This window comes from Homo sapiens, chromosome 3 (genome assembly GCF_000001405.40).
Source record: "Homo sapiens chromosome 3, GRCh38.p14 Primary Assembly".
In the NCBI taxonomy this organism is placed as follows: Eukaryota; Metazoa; Chordata; class Mammalia; order Primates; family Hominidae; genus Homo; species Homo sapiens.
In genome coordinates, this window is record NC_000003.12 from 59,435,685 (window position 1) to 59,453,269 (window position 17,585).

Below are 17,585 nucleotides of genomic sequence, written 5' to 3' on the forward strand. Positions count from 1 at the left end.
TGTGGTGATGCATACCTGTAATCCCAGTTACTTGGGAGCTGAAGCAAGAGAATCACTTGAGCCTGGGAGGTGGAGGTTTCAGTGAGCTGAGACTGCGCCACTGCCTGGGCAACAAGAGTGAAACTCCGTCTTAAAAAAAGCAAAAACCAAAAAAGATGAGACTGGAAAACTCATCAGAGAAGGGCCAGCCAGGTCCTCAGGGGAGTGTGGTTTTACTTTAGGTAGAGCGAAAGACATCAGGTAGAGCGAAAGACATTAGAGTATCCATAACTTCAGCCAGCCTGACCTCTGCCATTTGCTTTTTTGTCTAACCTTGATCATGGAAGAGAAAACCTTCTGCTCTCATCAGAGCTATTCCCCAAGTCAGGTTACCCCACAACATAGAGCAGCCTCATCCTTTGCGACTAGATTTCTCTCATAAGCTCCTGTACGTCCTCAAAGAATCCTGGTTCCTCAATAATGGAAGTTAGCAGTTATTCTCAAAATGAGGGAGTGTTTCTAAATGAGAATTTCCTCTGTGTGTGTGTAAATAGTCTCAAACAGCTTTTATATATGAGGTCTGGCAGCTGCCAGCAAGGAAGGAAGCAAACATCTCATTTTGCAGTTAACCTGTCTCATTACGTCATTCGTTGGCAGCCTTTGATGACATTTGTTCTGGGAACTAGACATATGTTTTTGAAAAGGTAAAGACTCTTCCTCCAGATATATTGATGGCAATGAGATCATGACATCAGAAGCTGGGGTTGTAATAGTAAAACCCAGCATCAAAAGTTTAGGCCAAAGGTCAGATGCTCAAAAGCCTTCAGGGCCAGAAATAAAAATAGCATGTAGCTGCTTTCTATCAAGGCAGGAGAGAGCTGTGGTTACTGAGAGGTTGTGGCTCAAATGCATTCAATGAAAACTTTTTAGATAGTATGTTAGTTAAGCCTAACCCAATTGGTAGACCCATTGGCCTCCAACTGGTAAGTCATATGATGGGCTTACTGAATCACTTTTAACCTTGAGACTATTTTTCAGAACACAGAATTCCCCAGGTCTACTCTCCTAGTCAGAGTAAACCTGGGCAGTTTCCTCAGGCAGAGCTCTCTCTATGGATGTTGACTTATTTTGTTTAATTAAAAGTAATAAACCCTCCTGATCCCTAGATTGTCTCTATATGGCAACAGGCAATAAAGATGGTGATGGTCCTGTGTTTACTATGCATCAGGCACTGGGCTAAGCACTTTATATGCTTACTTCTTTTAATGCTCACAAAACAGCTACCACAAGAAACTTGTATTTAACTGATGAGGTAACTGAAAGTCAGAGAAGTTAAGTAACTTGTCTAAAATCACACAGCTCTATAGCTTTCAAAATCCTCCGAAGAAAAATTATTATTTAAGAAAAAGAAAACCTAATCCTTTAGTATCAACTTATTTTGTGGGTTTTAGAATGTGCCCCAAGCATTTGCATGAATTTCAGTTTAAATTTTCAATGTATGCCCATATATATAAACATTATTTTATTTTATTTTATTTTATTTTATTTTATTTTATTTTATTTTATTTTATTTTATTTTAGACAGTATCTTGCTCTGTTGCCCAAGGCTGGAGTGCAGTGGCATGATCTTGGCTCACTGCAACCTCTGTCTCTTGGGTTAAAACAATTCTCCTGCCTCAGCCTCCCGAGTAGCTGGGACTACAGTGATATGCCACCATACCTGGCTAATTTTTGTATTTTTAGTAGAGACAGGGATTCACAATGTTGGCAAGGCTGGTCGTGAACTCCTGGTCTCAAGTGATCCACACGCCTCAGCTTCCCAAAGTGCTGGGATTACAGGCGTGAGCCGCCACACCTGGCCAAACATTTATTGAAATGTGCTTTTAGGCAGGGCACAGTGGCTCACTCTTGTAATCCCAGCACTTTGGGAGGCGGAGGTGGAAGGATCACTTGAGATCAGGAGTTTGAGACCAGCCTGGTCAGCGTAGTGAAGCCCCCGTCTCTACTAAAAATACAAAAAAATTAGCCAGACTTGGTGGCGGGCACCTGTAGTCCCAGCTACTTGGGAGGCTGAGGCAGGAGAATCACTTGAACCCAGGAGACGGAGGCTGCAGTGAGCCAAGATCATGCCACTGCACTCCAGCCTGGGTGACGGAGTGAGATTTCGTCTCAAAACAAAAACAAAAGCAAACACACACACACACACACACACACACACACACACACACACACACACACACAGAAGTGTGCTTTTTAGGATGGTAAGGATAGTAAAACAACCAAAAAACAATGAAAGATGGGGCAGAATAGGAATTCTATCACTAGAACTAAACCAGAATTTTCTAGATGCTGGTCTAAAACAGGGGTTACGAACTATGGCATGTGGCCAAATCCAGCCTGCCACCTGCTTTTGTAAATAAGGTTTTAAGAAAACACCTTAAATGATGTATTATCTATGGCAGCTTTCCCATTACAATGGCAGAGTTGGGAGGTTGTGAGAAAGAATGTATGTTCCCCAAAGCCAAAAATATTTACTACTGGGCCCTTTACAAAAAAAAGTGTATTAACCTTTGATCTATAACAACTCATACTATAAACATAATGCACATATCATTTCCACAAATTCTATAATCTCGCCTGCTGTGTTTCCCCAGGTTTTGGCCATGAAGCAAACCACCAAGGCCTTAATGTAATTCTCATGTTACCCCCTGAAATGGGTAAAGGTCTTCCTCTTTTCTTCTAACCGGGTAGAGTGAACCTGCATTTAGAGGGCCCAACCTGCTTGCCAGGGCACAGAGCCAGAAGGGAAACATGGAATCATAATGATGCCAGTGATCCCCAAACGGCTCACCTTCCCTGGGCTTAAGCTTTAGCACTGTGCTCAGAGCCTTGCAGAAAGCATCTCTGGGAATCCTTGAAACTGCCTTCGGGGTAATTACTGTTATTATTCCCATCTGATAGATGAGAAACTGGGGCCTCAAGGAGGAAATTGCCCAAGATCACACAACCTTCGGCTGACCCCAAAGAGAGTGGTGTTCATGACTATATAATGTCATGGCATCTTGAGCGAGAACTTTGCCTTAGGGCCTTCCTCAGGGAAGTGTTGGGCTAGAAACAACAGGCCTGGCTGCTGTGAAGAAAGGAGTCTCTTGTGGCCACAAAGGAAGAAGAAGGAGGGGTCTGGAGAGCCTCTGGATCCAGGGTTATTTGCTAAGGCTGAAGTCCGAGATCCCTCTTGGACCACTCGTACCTGAATTGCTCCCGGCCTGCTGGGTGCCAGGTGGCATGGAGCTTCCCAGCCTTCACTCAGTTTGTTGACTACCAGGTGAACTCAGTTTCCAACTGCAGGACATCAGAACAAGATTCTGAATGAAAACGTGTTCCCCCAGGTGAGCCATATGCAGACGAATGCTTGGGATGCTGGGTAGATGTTGAAAAAAAGTTTTGCCCGAAGAATACCAAGTAGACACAGGCTGCGTTTCGTGGCCAACGAGAGCAGTCTTGCAACCAGGCCGTCTTTCTGAAAATGGGAATATGGTGAGTGGCCAAACTTTGCTCTCAAAGTAGACAATGGAAGTGTTGGGAAGGAGATAGGAAAGGAAAGGAAGGAGACGGCCAGGTTTCCCTGGTTCTTCCGTCTTTAGCGGTAGCCCACCTAGTATGAGCACTGTTCTTATGTGGTAGGCTAGGTAATTCCACTCCCTTTCCCCCACATCCCCCAAAAGAGATGCCATACCCTAAACCCTGGGACCTAGGACGATGTTACCTACAGGGCAAAGGGCATTTTGCAGCTATGGTTAAGGTTATGGGTCTGAAAGTGGAGGAGATTACCCTGGATTATCTAGGTGGACCCAATCTAATCAGATAAAACCTTGAAGGCAGAAAATCTTCCCTGGCTAAATTTAGAGAGAGGCCATCAGGTAAGGAGAGGCAGGAGAGATTGGGGGCTTGAGAGGGACTCGGCTGTCTGTGGCCGGTTTTCAGAACTAGGGGCCAGGAGCTTAGAAGTGCAGGTGGCCTCTAGCAGCTGGGAATAGGCTGCAGCTGACAGCGAGGAAACAAGGAGTTCAGCCCTAAAATTATAAGGAACTGAATTCTGCCAGCAACGTGAATGAGCAAGGGAACAGGGTCTCCTCTAGAGCCTCCAGAAATGAGTGCAGACAGCCCTGCTAACACGTTGATTTTAGCCTAGTGAGACCTGCGTTGTGCCTCTGCCCTATAGAACTGTGAGATAATATGTTTGTGGTGTTTTTAGCCACTAAGTTTGTAGCCATTTGTTATGATAGCAATAGGTAACGAATACATCTTATGAATGAAAATGTGCTGGTTAGTAGCTGGTTAGAAAGTGGCCTAGGTGGGAGGAATTCTGGGAGGAAGAAGCTGGAAGAGCAGCTTCATTTTGAGCCCCTTGGGAAGAACAGGAATATACAGGTTGTATTATCTAATCTCATGACAGAGTTTTGCCCAGAGAAAACCAAGTAGACACATAATCTTGAGACATGTTCCCTGTTTTCATTTTATCTTGCTTACTCTGTACCTACCCCTAAAACAGGAAACAGAGGACACTCCAAGGGGAGCTTTCCTTGACTTGCTCTCAAAATGTATGTGAAATAGCGGGACGCCTCCCTGACTGTAGAGAATCAGTGCCAGGACCCTAGAGCTTTCTACTTGTGGGCATCAAACTTTTTAGCTACAGTAGTGTCAGACTGGGAATAAGCAGTGGACTGTTTTTGCCCTGTGGTACAATCCAGGCATCTCCATTTCACAAGGTACAGCTCAAGCCACTAAGGGTCTGAGTGCACCATGTGCGCAAACCAGAAATTCTGCAGCAGTGCTGGAGGGAGGGAGTGGAGGCTGTGGGTGACTTGCTTCTGTCTTCAAATTTTTGTTCTCTTCTCCTGTCTAGTCCTCTTGAGTTATTAATTAGAATCATTGCCTTTGTTTCTTCTCTGTACTGTGCTTGTCAGGCAGTGTTCCTTTTCCAAGAAGGGGAATAAATGTATTGTTTAATTTATGAGGATATAATACTATAATAGTATATTCCTTTGCCTGAAATGTATTCTTAAGTATTACCTTGGTCTGTGCTTTAACTGAGTTGGATAGAGACGGCACACTGCAATTGTTAAGGTTAATGACCCAGTGATTTACAAGACAAGGCACATTTACTGGCAAATAGATTTTAGTAATTGTTCCGCTCCACAGTGAGAATAACGGTTTGTGTATTGATTCATCATGTCTTGGAGTTGGGGCTCACTCAGAGAAGACAGAGCCCAGGGTCTTGTGGCAGAGGCTGCCTAGGATCGATGAGATTAGCAGACCCCACAAGCTCAGCTTGCTAAGAGAAATTTTGCTCAGGAAAACCCTCAGGTGCCCTCAGGTGGAGTGAATAATAATTGTAAGACAAAGATGGCTTACAAGTGCTGCAGGTGCCAGAATTAAAAAAAAAAAAAATAAATAAACACACAAACCCCACGAAACTAATACAGGCTTATTTTTTTCCGCTTTTATTGAGATATTATTAGTAAATAAAAATGGTATAATTTATGATGTTTAACGTGATGTTTTGATATACATATACATTGTAAAATTACCACAATCAAGCTAATTAACACATCTATTACCTCTCATAGCTGCCATTTATGTGTGTGTGATTAGAACAGTTGAGATCTCAGCAAATTTCAAATATACAATATGTTATTATTAACTATAGTCGTCAAGCTTATAACTTGTAAATGAAAGTTTATACTTCTTGACCAACATCTCCCCTTTCCTCTCATTCTAGTCCCTAGTAACCACAATTCTACTCTGTTACCATGAGTTCTACTTTTTATTTTATTTTTTTAAGCTTCTACATATGAGTAAGATCAGGCAGTATTTGCCTTTCTGTGCCTGGCTTATTTCACTTAGCATGACGTCCTCCAGGTTCATCCTTGTTGCAAATGTGGCAGGTTTTCCTTCTTTTCAAAGGCTGAATCGTATTCAATTGTGTAAATGTACCATATTTATCCATCATCTGCCAATGGACGCTTAGGTTGTTTCCATATCTTGGCTATTGTGAATAATGCTGCAATGAACATGAGAGCACAAATATCAATATAGGTTTATTTTTGTTCTATGAGAGATGAGCACACTTGATACTCAGAACATTTCCACTGGGGGATTCAGTTCGGCATTTTTAAGGGGAAGGGATAAATAAAACTTGGGGAAAATATCCTCTAGAATGGTTTGATCTCTTTTAAAGAAATATAATTGTGTTCGGACCCAGGATGTAGGTCCAGTTATCAGGTTGATTAAACTTATTTTTCTGATGCCTTGCCTCAGTATGGATTGAGAGCCACAGAATCATCTATGAGAACCTGGCCACTCCAAGCATATGTCAGTAAGTCTGTGCCCTTTTATTTTCTTGTGCTTCTCTAAGACTACGGGCAAGAGGCTGCAATTCTTTTTCAAGGGCGTCTCCAATTACCGCTCATTAACTCTGAGAAAAGCTCAAATAGGGAAGACAAAGAGGATTGGACTGAGGACGCTGGAGAGTGAAGACAAGACACTGAGCTCCCCCACCTCATGCACTGCACAGGGCTTCTAATCTCGGCGACCACATGGGAATGAGGCCCTGCTTCCCTTAGGTCTCTGCTGTCCCCAGGGAAAGTGAGTGAGATGAGTCAAGGCACAAGAACAGCAAGCCTCCTTGTATTGCTTTTCCAAGTATGCTGTTTATATTGTGCATGTGTATATATGTAGATGTGATATATGAATCTGGAGATCTCATCTGATGGGATATGAGAAAAAAGCCCAGTTGTAGAAGACAGACCAGCACTGAGAGATGTCATTATTAAAAGATGAATGAAAGGCAACTTTTCTGGCGGAATGTAATATCACACAAATAGACAACACAGTTTTGTTTTTCTTTTTTAAACTCTTTAAATTGTGAAATATCATACTTTAAAACAAGCATTTACAGTTTATATTTACAGTTTAATTTAGAAAAAAACGTTTACCTATGTAACAAACCTGCACATCCTACACATGTATCCCAGAACTTAAAATCAGATAAATTAATTAAAAAAAATACAAGCACCTGTGGACCCACCACCCAGTTTAAGAACTAGAACATGACCCGTGCGTTCTGTTCCCAGGGATTCTGTTCTGATATCCTTCCCCAGGCATGCTGTCTCCCTCCCTCCCCAGCAAGGAGTACCTCTGAATTTTATGTAGTCATTTTGTTTTAAGAGATACATATCTTTACATAGCTCTAAAATTGTAGAGCTGTGTGTAGCGCCAGTTCATTCTTTTTTAACATTCTGTATAGCTTTTCATCATATAAATATACCACAGTTGGGTTACCCACACTATTGTTGGTGGAAACCAGGGTCATTTCCAGTTTTCAGCAGTGCTGTGCATGTCTTGTGTCATACATGTACAAGAGTTCTCTCAGGTAGATATCTAGGATTGAGCTTGCCAGCTCACAGTTTGTATATATGTTCAGTTTTTACTGCCCAATGCCAAATTGTTTCCTGAAGTGGTTGTACCGATTTTTACTCCCACCAGCAGTGAGTGAGAGTTCCCACTGCTTCATACTCTTGCCAATATTGGATATTGTTGGATTTATTATGGTTTACTAACTGATGGTACAAAGGATATTTTATTACAATGTTAGTTTGCAAATAAATTGGTCATAAGCTTGAACACCTTCTCGTGTTGGATATATATGTTTCTTTTTCTGTAGAAAGCCTTTCTATGAACTTTTTCCTTTTTTCTTATATTGTGTTTTATTCTTTGTTATTCACTAATAGGAGCTCTTCACATATTCTAGATCCTTGCTGTCCAACAGAAATATAACGCAAGCCACATATAATTTAAAATTTCCTAGTAGCTACATTAAAGAAGTAAAAATAAACTAATAAAACTGGTTTTAATAATTCATTATTTTATGTCACTAAACTTTATCCAAATGTACCTAAAATTATCAATATAAAATTATTAATGAAGTCTTTGAAATTTAATGTGTATGTTATACTCATGGCAGATCTTATTCTGTGCCAGTCACATTTCAGTTGCTCACCAGCCACATGACGACTGTATTGATCAATACATGTCTAGAGGCTTCTCCTTTGACAATTAGATTTTCTTCTAAATTGTAGCTTATGCTCTCACTTTTTTGTGGCTTCTTTTTATGTGCAGGAGTGCTTCACTTGAACATAGCCCCATTTGATTAATCTTTCTTAGTGCTTTTTTGCATTGTGCTTAAAACCTTCTCTACACTGAGGTGATGAAAGTGTTGTCTTTTGTCCAGAAGTTTGAAAGTTTTGTCTTTTATGCTTACAGTCTTGATCCATATGGACTTGAACTTTGGGTTTCGTTTGAGGAAATTTCAACTATCTATATGGATAACACACTGCTGAACTGCTCCTTCTTGGTCCACAGCTCTGCACGTAGCCCTGTCGTGAGTCAGGTTTCCACGACAGGCACGGGTGTGTTTTCAGACTCTGTCTTCTGTTCCATTTGTCTCTTTGTTTGCCTCTTTCCAAATACCACACTGTCTTCATTATTATAGCTTTAAAATAAGCCCTGTTACCTGCTGAGGCAAGTCTCCTGGCTTGTTTCTCTCTTGGAGTTTCTTGGTATATTTCAGCCTTTGCTTTCAGATATAAATTTTAAAATCAGTTTGTCAGGGTCTGTGAAAATCCTTTTGTGGCCGTTCTATTCTGTTAGATGAGCTGTGTGAACTCAAATAAGTCACTTTGCCTCTTGGGCCTATCTTTTCATCTGTAAAATGACAGTTTCATTTTGATAGGAGTGAGTGTTTCATTATTAAATGATGTAATGCATGTAAAGTTCCCAGCACAGTGCCTGGCACCCAGGAAATAGTCAACAAGTAAAGGAGTGGTTTTATTGCTGTTAAAGCTGAGATGTGGGGGCCTGTTGTGGAGAGTGCTAGAATCTCAAAAGACAGGCTGGTTTTTAGTTGTACAGAACTGCAGTCTAGGAACTGTAGACTTATTATCACCTTTGTCTTCACATTTTAGTGCAGGCTTTTGTGATTAATATTAACAATGCACGTGTATAGAACTTTATACCTCAAAATATTTTCACTCATTTGATCATATTTGGACTGCTAAGGAGCATTGAGAAGCAAGTAAGCATGCACGTATTTGGAAATACCTGACAAGCTTCAGCCAAGCCTTGGAAGCTATATTAGGACAATGGGGTAAGAGGTTATAAGGATCAGACAACCACTCAGCTGCCTAGATGCCATCCATCTGCCAAGACAATTTGAAGGTGGAAGGGAGGGTAGGATTGCCAGAGAAAAACAGGACATTCATCTAAATTTGGATCTCCAATAAACAGTCATTTTTTAGGATAAATATGTCCCACATATTGCAGGTATACTTACACTGTGACATTCATTTCTCTGAAATTCAGATTTAACTGGGCATCTGTGTTTTCACTGGACACCTAAATCTGGCAGAAGGTATTGCTGTTACTTCTTCAAATTGGAACTGTGCTCCAGAGTCTTAATGCATAAATTGCCCTGAGATCTCATGCAGTCCAGCTCCTTCTTTTAGCAAATGTGGAAATTGAGATCCAGAGGCTGAGTGGTTACGTGTGGAATCGGATGATTCCTGATTCTGCATTCCTTTTTATGCTTCTGAACGTGCAAAAATACACAGCCACCTTTTCATTGTCTTCTTTATCTTGGAGAGGTAGGGACGTCTACCACATTGACCACAACTCTTCATTGAGCCTTGGTTATGGGCAGTTTACATGGCAGGCCCTAGCCACCAGGCAAGTATCTGGTCACTCAGGGGATTAGCTAGGTCTCAAATTCTCAGGGTTCTGGAAGTATCATTCTGGACTGTAGCTGAAGGCCATGAGGCCACATAGCCAGGCTTTAGCACCTCCATTGAAATGCAGCCTTGTCAGAGCCGTCAGCTCCTGTGCTGATAGGGAACAATCACAGAGAAGCAGGCAAAAGCACAAAACTCTTCAGATGAAAAAGAATAAAAAATGATGAAGGGGAAGGAAAGAGTAACTGATGAGAAAAGATACTGCCACTTCTGACAACTGGAGGGGCTGAAGGGCCTAAATGCAGGGAAAAAGAGGGGTTCCACTGGGAGAGGCAAGTGGTACAACAAGATTTCATATCAGAATATTTTTTCTAAAATGAGGACTCTTAGACTGAGAAAGGACTCCCATGGGCCTCTTAGATTGATGAAGAGTCCCGTTGCTGGAGTCATTTTAAACCAGAACTGAACAAAGTGATTGAAAATAAACTGCAGGGAACACTTGCTTGGATATCTTCTGGGACAGACTTGATCATCTGATCAGTTTCTTCCTTCCCTCAATGCCTGTGAATCACTGGTTCATTTGAAAACATGATAGTTAAAACTCTCGTGGAACCAGAACTTGAGCATTTAATTGAAAGTAATTTTCATACAAGTGAGGCATGGTCTAGAAATTCATTTGTTGTGTGTGTATGTAATTTTTTTTTAAGTCCGAGATAAGGCGAGCAACTAGTTTCAGAATCCTTACTGGGCCAAAGCTTTGTTTCAATCTTGTTATGCTCTTACTATTTCTAACCTCTAGTTGCAAATTATTTTTATGTGACACTTATGTCCATTTGACTTCATTTTTCTAACTAAATAGCTTTTCAGGAAATAGATCTCCTGACTTATTTCAGAGCTCTAAATAAATATCCAGAGTATCTGTGTACTATAAAAACATTATAAAAACTCCTCTATGGTGCTGATCCAAGGCATGAAAATTGCCCTCCTGGTGTTCTATGCCAAGCCTGGTTGACCTTCCCAATTTTTCTGCTACAAATCTGAAAAACAAGCTCAGCTGTCTGGAGAAACATCAGGCATAGGCATACATTAGATAAATGTTTGTGTTTTCCTTTCATCACGGACGACCTCGTAGGAGATGAATGACATAAACACTCTACCTGTTAGTAGACTTGGATTGCTGTCACATTATTTCCTGCATCAGTTCTAATACTCCTGGAAATAGATGTTTTTAAAGGCAATTTGGGCAGCAGTTATTATCTTTTGCTTTGCATCTTGCTTACCCTCCATGCAATGACTGACTAAATATTGTTGATTTTACTCTTTCTCCCGTAATCCTCTCCCCTGCATCCCCACCTCTCTAGCCCCACTGGCACTGCCTACGGCCTCCCTACCTCCCATCTCCCTGCTGTCTATTGTATATGCTGCAGCTACGTTTAGCTTCCCAGAGCAGAGCCTTGATCCTATCGCTCTCCTGCTCAAAACCTGTCCATAGCTCCCTGTTTTCTATGAGGCTTTCCCAAACATTAGTCATACCACCTCCATTATCTTTGCTATTTTCCCTTTCCATCTGTGCTGTGGTTTACTTCATATTTATCTTTAAATAGGCTCACTTAAAAAAAAATCTTAAATGTATTCTAAAGGGAAACTTTATCTCTAAGTAAATGGAAAACCAGTACCATCTATCATAATAGAAACTATAAAAATAAATGCAATGAAAACAAAAGTATTATCTTCCAGCAAGATAGTGTTGCCTGAGGCTCAAAGCCTGAAGCCTGATTTCTCTGTGTTTACAAAGGTGGGTGATGATTCAGTGACTGTTTGTCCCTCCAGATCTATTTTTCTCTCTTCTTCTTGTTGTCTGCCCAGGAGGCTGAGCCCGAGGACAGGTCAGTGAGTTCCCTTACTTTCTGGTTTCCAGCTGGCCTCAGCCTATGGCAGCCCAGCAGAGTCTAGGAAGGAGGGAACGATGGGTCCAGGGCTTTGTTCCCTGCCTCTCTCCCTGCAGGGTCACCACAGCCTGGCAGTATCCCCTGACAAAAGATTGCTGCCCATTTTAACATGGCTTGTTCTTAAACCCTCCCCTTGTCCCTTCAAGCCTGGAAATGGTGACAGCTCTCCCTTTACAAGCCCTGGGTCAGTGTGTTGCCCTTGTGGTTCCCCTGTACCCATACTTAGCTGATTGTCCCTTTATGACACCCACTTGGATTATCCTGCTTTGATAGGTCATACCTCTCCTGTGGAGACCCTGACTAGTATAATTATCATGGATTAGTTGTTATAGATAGACCCACATCAACTGAGACTTTCTCCTTGGCTTCATCAAAGATTGAAGGGGAATTGATAGGTAGGCGGTCTCTGTACCACCTTGCACCATGCATGTACACCAGTGAGTAACACGTGTGTTCCCCAATCTGGAGAATATCTTTCTATGGAATAAACCCCACCATTCTTTGTGTAGGATTCAAGCTGGACTGGAGTGCCACTCAACTTTCCCATCCTATTTCCTTCCACACACTCTTGCTTACCGACAAATAACCATGCTATTTCCTGTTCTTGCCCCGTAATTTCCCAACTTTCGTCTGTATTTAGACCATTTATTCTGCTTAGAAAGAATACCTCCTCCATCTCCTCATTAAATCTGGTCACGGTTCTGATGTTGCCTTCTCCCTGAAGCCAACACTAATATGCTTGGCACTCTTAATATTGTCTTGACCTCCCCCAAACTCTGGGTATCATTCCCTCCATGTCTCCCATGGGGTGCAGGGTGGCAGAGGGTCAGACTTGCCCAGGCCCCTGGCTGAGCCTCACCTTGGAACCTTGCACATAGACCTTTGGCCTCTTTCTTTTTGAGATGGAGTCTTGCTCTGTTGCCAGGAGTGCAATGGCACAATCTTGGGTCACTGCAACTACAGCCTCCTGGGTTTGAGTGATTCCCCTGCCTCAGCCTCCCAAGTAGCTGGGACTACAGGTGCGTGCCACCACACCTGGCTAATTTTCTTGTATTTTTAGTAGAGACGAGGTTTCACCACGGTGGCCAGGATGGTCTCGATCTCCTGACCTTGTGATCCGCCCCCCTTGGCCTCCCAAAGTGCTGGGATTACAGGCATGAGCCACTGTGCCCAGTGACCTTTGGCCTCTTTAATCCATCTCTGACACCCCATGGCCCTTACTCTGTGGAGGTCATCCTGTTCTAGCTTGTTTTATAATCGTGACTTTTCTCTTGGATTATACCAAAGCCCCACGCATTCATTTATTCATTTAACACATAATGATTAAACCTACAAAGTACTGGGTGCATGCTAGGTGCTGAATAGATAGTGATACACGAAATAACCTGATTCCTAGGCCCAGGGAGCTTACTACCTGAAGAAAACTATAGAAACCCTTTGAGACTACACCCTTTTCAAGAGAGGTATGAGCTCGAGAGTCCCCATCAATAATTTACTTGCACACACACATAATTGTATAGCAGCCACTGGTTTACAGTTTGTGATGAAAGTGCCCTAGTTGTTAAGAACATCCTTCCCTGGGAGATGGCCTCCGTGAGGGGCAGTAGAGGAGAATGGTTAAAAGGCAAGTCAGGCTGTACTCACAGCTCTGATCATTCACTTTCAGCAAACACAGCACTTCTGAGCCTTAATTTCCTTAGCTGTAAAATGGGTTTGTTCTCTCCATATACTTTTCTCAGAGGTTTGTGAGGAGTCAAAATACTGCCTACAAAGGTTTGTAATGGTGCCCATCACAAAATAAGTGCTCAGTATGTATCAGTGGTGGTTGTGAGGGGAGTGGCTATCAGCTTATGGAAGTCTAGACATTGGATCTCTAAATACAGGCAAGATTCGTATTTGCTTGGGACCATCTAGGTTCAACTCACACGGAAAATCTTCCAGGTGCCAGGGCTGTGATTGTAAACAAGCTGGAAGGAAAATACACAGTAAACACACCAGAGGAGGAGCTGTGGAAGGAGCTGGAAGGGGTTCCGAGCAAACAGGGACTGCCACAGCCTGAGGACAAGTCCACCCCAGAAACTCATATGTACGCTCTACTAAGATTCTGTTCTTGAAACATTTTCTTGTCTAGAAACACAGAGGATTATGTAGGTTCTCAACAGATGTTTACTGCATTGAGTCCATTGTGTGTGCATAACACCACAGACCCAATTTAGGGATGGTGGTTGTTGTAAGCTTTATTAAAAATAGGCTATCATTCCTGCCTTAAGACAATTTCCAGCAGGCACATTAATGTGACTCATCTTTTTATCTTGATCAAAGGCAGGTAATTTATAACCCAGGGGACATTGTAGAAGTAACTACTATTTTTAAAATTACCAGAGGGCAGAAAAGTATTAGTTGGTGGGATTGCTTTGGGTCTTTCATCTTGGGTGACTAGATATACCTTCATTTCAAGGGGAGGAGGGTGGAGAGGACAAGAAGAGTCCCTATTCTGGCTTTCCAGAAAGAGCCTGTCTTCATGGAAGCCCATGGCTATACTTTGTGCTGCCCCTTTGTAAGAGGGAGAGACTGAATTTCCTCAATAAAAATCACAGCTGCCTCTTTAAACATCTACTTTGTGTGAGCAGAATTGAACAGATAGTATATGACTTATTAGCTCTTTCTGACAAGAACCATCTGATGTAGGTACAGTTTTCCCCTTTAACACCCTAAGACCCTGAGGCCTAGAGAGTTCAAGTTCTTTGCCCAAGGTCACCCAACGGATGAATAGTGCAGGTGGAATCCAGATCCAGGTCTACTTGCCACCCAAGCTCACTTTTTATGCTATCTCACCTGCCTCTCCAGACACTTCTATGGAAGGTATTTGGTTAGGTTGATTTGACATTGTAAGTATCTAATCACATATTCCCTGGAATTCTCTATTCACTGCCACTTAGAACAATGACTATTATTCTCAAGATACTTGAGGCCCCCTGCTGTACCCTAAAGAGTCCTATAAAACATTAACAAGCAATCAATGAGAAAATTTGCATGTTTCAGTACAAGAAAGGGCTCTGAATCTCTTGTCATCACTCTGCTGTATCTCAGCACTGTCCATGTTTGTTTTTATATTTGTTCGTCTGTTCACCAACCACCTCTCCAACTAGACGGTAAACTCCATGAGGCAGGAACCAAAACTGTGGTGTTCACCTGTCTATACTGGGTGTGCCTAGCAATAAACATTTTCTGAATAAATAAATTCTCTCTGAATGGGTAATCCCCACGTAATGCGCATGGTTTAAGTCTATTTACCAGAATTTTTGAGCAAATAGTTCTATCCTTTTTGACACATTTTCCACAGTTTGTATAATTTATTCATAGAATCCTTCTTAGACTACTAATAAATTCCTATGGGACATAGTCCTTTTATATGCGGAGGAATCCACCACCATGAAATGTTCACAAGAAATGACTTTTAAAATTTTATTTGTGGCCATGCTGATTATGAATTTCTGAATTATGTCTGGGCTGCTCTTTTTCTCGGAATATGCAAAGTGGGATACTGGCATCTCTGTATCTGGAGAGTTACAGCTTCTGAGTTAAAAGATGAATGGGAAGTAGCAGGAGAGGGAGAGATCAGAAATCTCCACTCCCTGAAACACAGACACTTCACATACCCAGGAGGTAAATTCCTGGCATGAATTGTAACAAGTATACACAGGCATTTGTACATTGTTTGCTTATGTGCTAGATGACATGGCAGTCTATGAACAGGGGCCCCACATCTGCAGGCAGGACATTCAGCCCTGTATCTTGCCACTACCATGAAATCTGAGGTTCTTTCATTTTTGTTTTTCTATTCTGATGAGATTGAGGTACACTGACTCACTGGTAAAGAAGACAATTTATTTGTGAACTTGTAGTCACTCCATTTGACGGCCTCCCTCTACTCACTGAGGCACAGCACGTGTGGAACAGGAAAAAGGCCTCTGGAGAGCTTGTGTTCCACTGGTTTCTTTGACTTTTGCCAACCAACTTTGCAAATGTTCTCAAAAGGCATTCATTACCTCTGCAGGTGTGAAATAACTCTGCAGTTCAAGGGTTTGTGAAATCACGTGAAACAGCTGAAAGCTGTTCTGGCAAAGCGACCAGAGTCAGAGTTAGCTGTCACCAAGCCACATCCTGGCTTAAACGATGTTATTTATATCTAACTGCACTCGACTCCTCCCAAAGCCTTCTGTTGAGCACCAAAACCTCACCACAGTTTCACTCTTAGCCTTTCTTTTGTGTGAAGACAAAAAAGGTTGCTTTTATAAATCTCTGTTTGAGCCCAGATGGAGTGCATTTCATGCAGGAAAATGTTGCTTATAGTGAAGTGGATGAAATAATTGCTGGGATTTCTGGGCATGCTCCACAAACCCAGAAGACTGGAGGTGAACGGGCAGGGAGAAGAGATTCCGTTGCTTTCTCATTCCTTTATTTGTGACTCTCCCTGGAAAGAGGAAAATGTAGGCATATGTAGATCAATGTGTCATTACAAAGGCTCAGTGTTCTTAGTCATAAAATGGGAGGAAGAACAGTACCCACTTCCCAGAATTGGTGAGGACCCCTGAACGGGTGCATGCCAGCTTCTCGCACAGCCCTACCAGGTAATGAGCTCCACTGTGTAGCCATCACTACTCAGAGTTAATCCGTGAAAGAGTGTGTGGGAGGAGGATAGGCCTTAGATTCCAAAGGGTGGAAATCAGTGGAAAGAGGCAGGATCTGATCATGCCTAGACCAGATGCTTCCAAGCCAGGCAGGCAATAGATGGTTAAAAGCCAAAATGCCTGCCCCTTTGGTGAAGGTTCTCATTGGTCTAAGGCATCCTGGCCAACTGACACATGATATCATGTAACGTGTTTTCCTGGGGCCCAGAAGCTTCTATGTGCAGCTTCTTTAAAGACCAAAACTGCAAGACTTTGAGTTTTGATATCTCAATATGATTTTGAAAAAATCATGGTAAAATATATATAACATAAAATTTACCATTTCTAAGTGTACAGTTCAGGGGTGTTAAGTATGTTTGCATTGTTGTGTACCCAACCACCTGAACTCTTCATCATGTAAAACTAAAGCTCTGTATCCATTACGTAAGTCCTTATTTCCCCTGGTTGCCAGGGAGCCCCTGACAACCACATCAGTTTGCTTTTTGATGACCTTATTATTTGTTTTATATATTTTTGTGATTTGTGTTTGTGGGAGTTTTTAAACAGGGGTGGGGTGGAGGTAGATCTAGAACTTATGTATTTTAGTGACCTAAATATGAAATCTTTCTAGAGTGGCAAATAGAGATATTTATTTCTCATGTCTGCCCTGGAAATAGAATTAATTTGCCATTTCAGAAATGAACCACACTGCTTTTGTCAGACTTTTCAACCTCATTCCCACATTGGAAGGCTATATGGCTTGCTGGTGAGATAACAGCCATGGTTCGGCTGAATCACTGCATTAATGATTCTAAAATATTCCCATCTAATCCCCTGTAGCTGAAGAGGATAAACACATACTGGCAAGGACTTGACAGTATGGGGACTAGCAATAGGCAGTTTGTCAAATGCAAAAATGGTTTGGAAGGGTCAAGGTTTAGCTAAAAAAAAATTCGGGCAAACTTTTCATTTATCCATGTTTCCTTTAATATTTATATTAAAATTGTTTAGTTACCCTTCAAACACATAAAACTTGTAAGTAAAATGGAGTCTGTAAGACGATCTATATTGTCCACATTTTCACTGACTCCCAGTATACCAATATAAAATATAACATATTTGAAATCTTAAATTATTAATCACCTTTTTACCCATGTTCAGATTAACTGGGTAATCTAAAAATAGGAGGGAGTACCTTA

General features: G+C 41.8%; 1 long non-coding RNA gene across 1 annotated transcript in view, besides 1 other annotated feature; it reads left to right on the forward strand.

The window, feature by feature from the left end:
* CFAP20DC-DT (CFAP20DC divergent transcript) overlaps positions 1–17,585 on the forward strand; it is a 724,471-nt gene that overhangs the window by 348,845 nt on the left and 358,041 nt on the right. The gene's annotated exons all lie outside the window — the stretch shown is intronic.
* Positions 8,636–8,685: an enhancer, noted in NCBI's record as "active region_20016". NCBI's record gives its function as "activates an Ori minimal core promoter by ATAC-STARR-seq in GM12878 lymphoblastoid cells {active_cell/tissue: GM12878}" and the evidence as "EXISTENCE:reporter gene assay evidence [ECO:0000049][PMID:35858748]".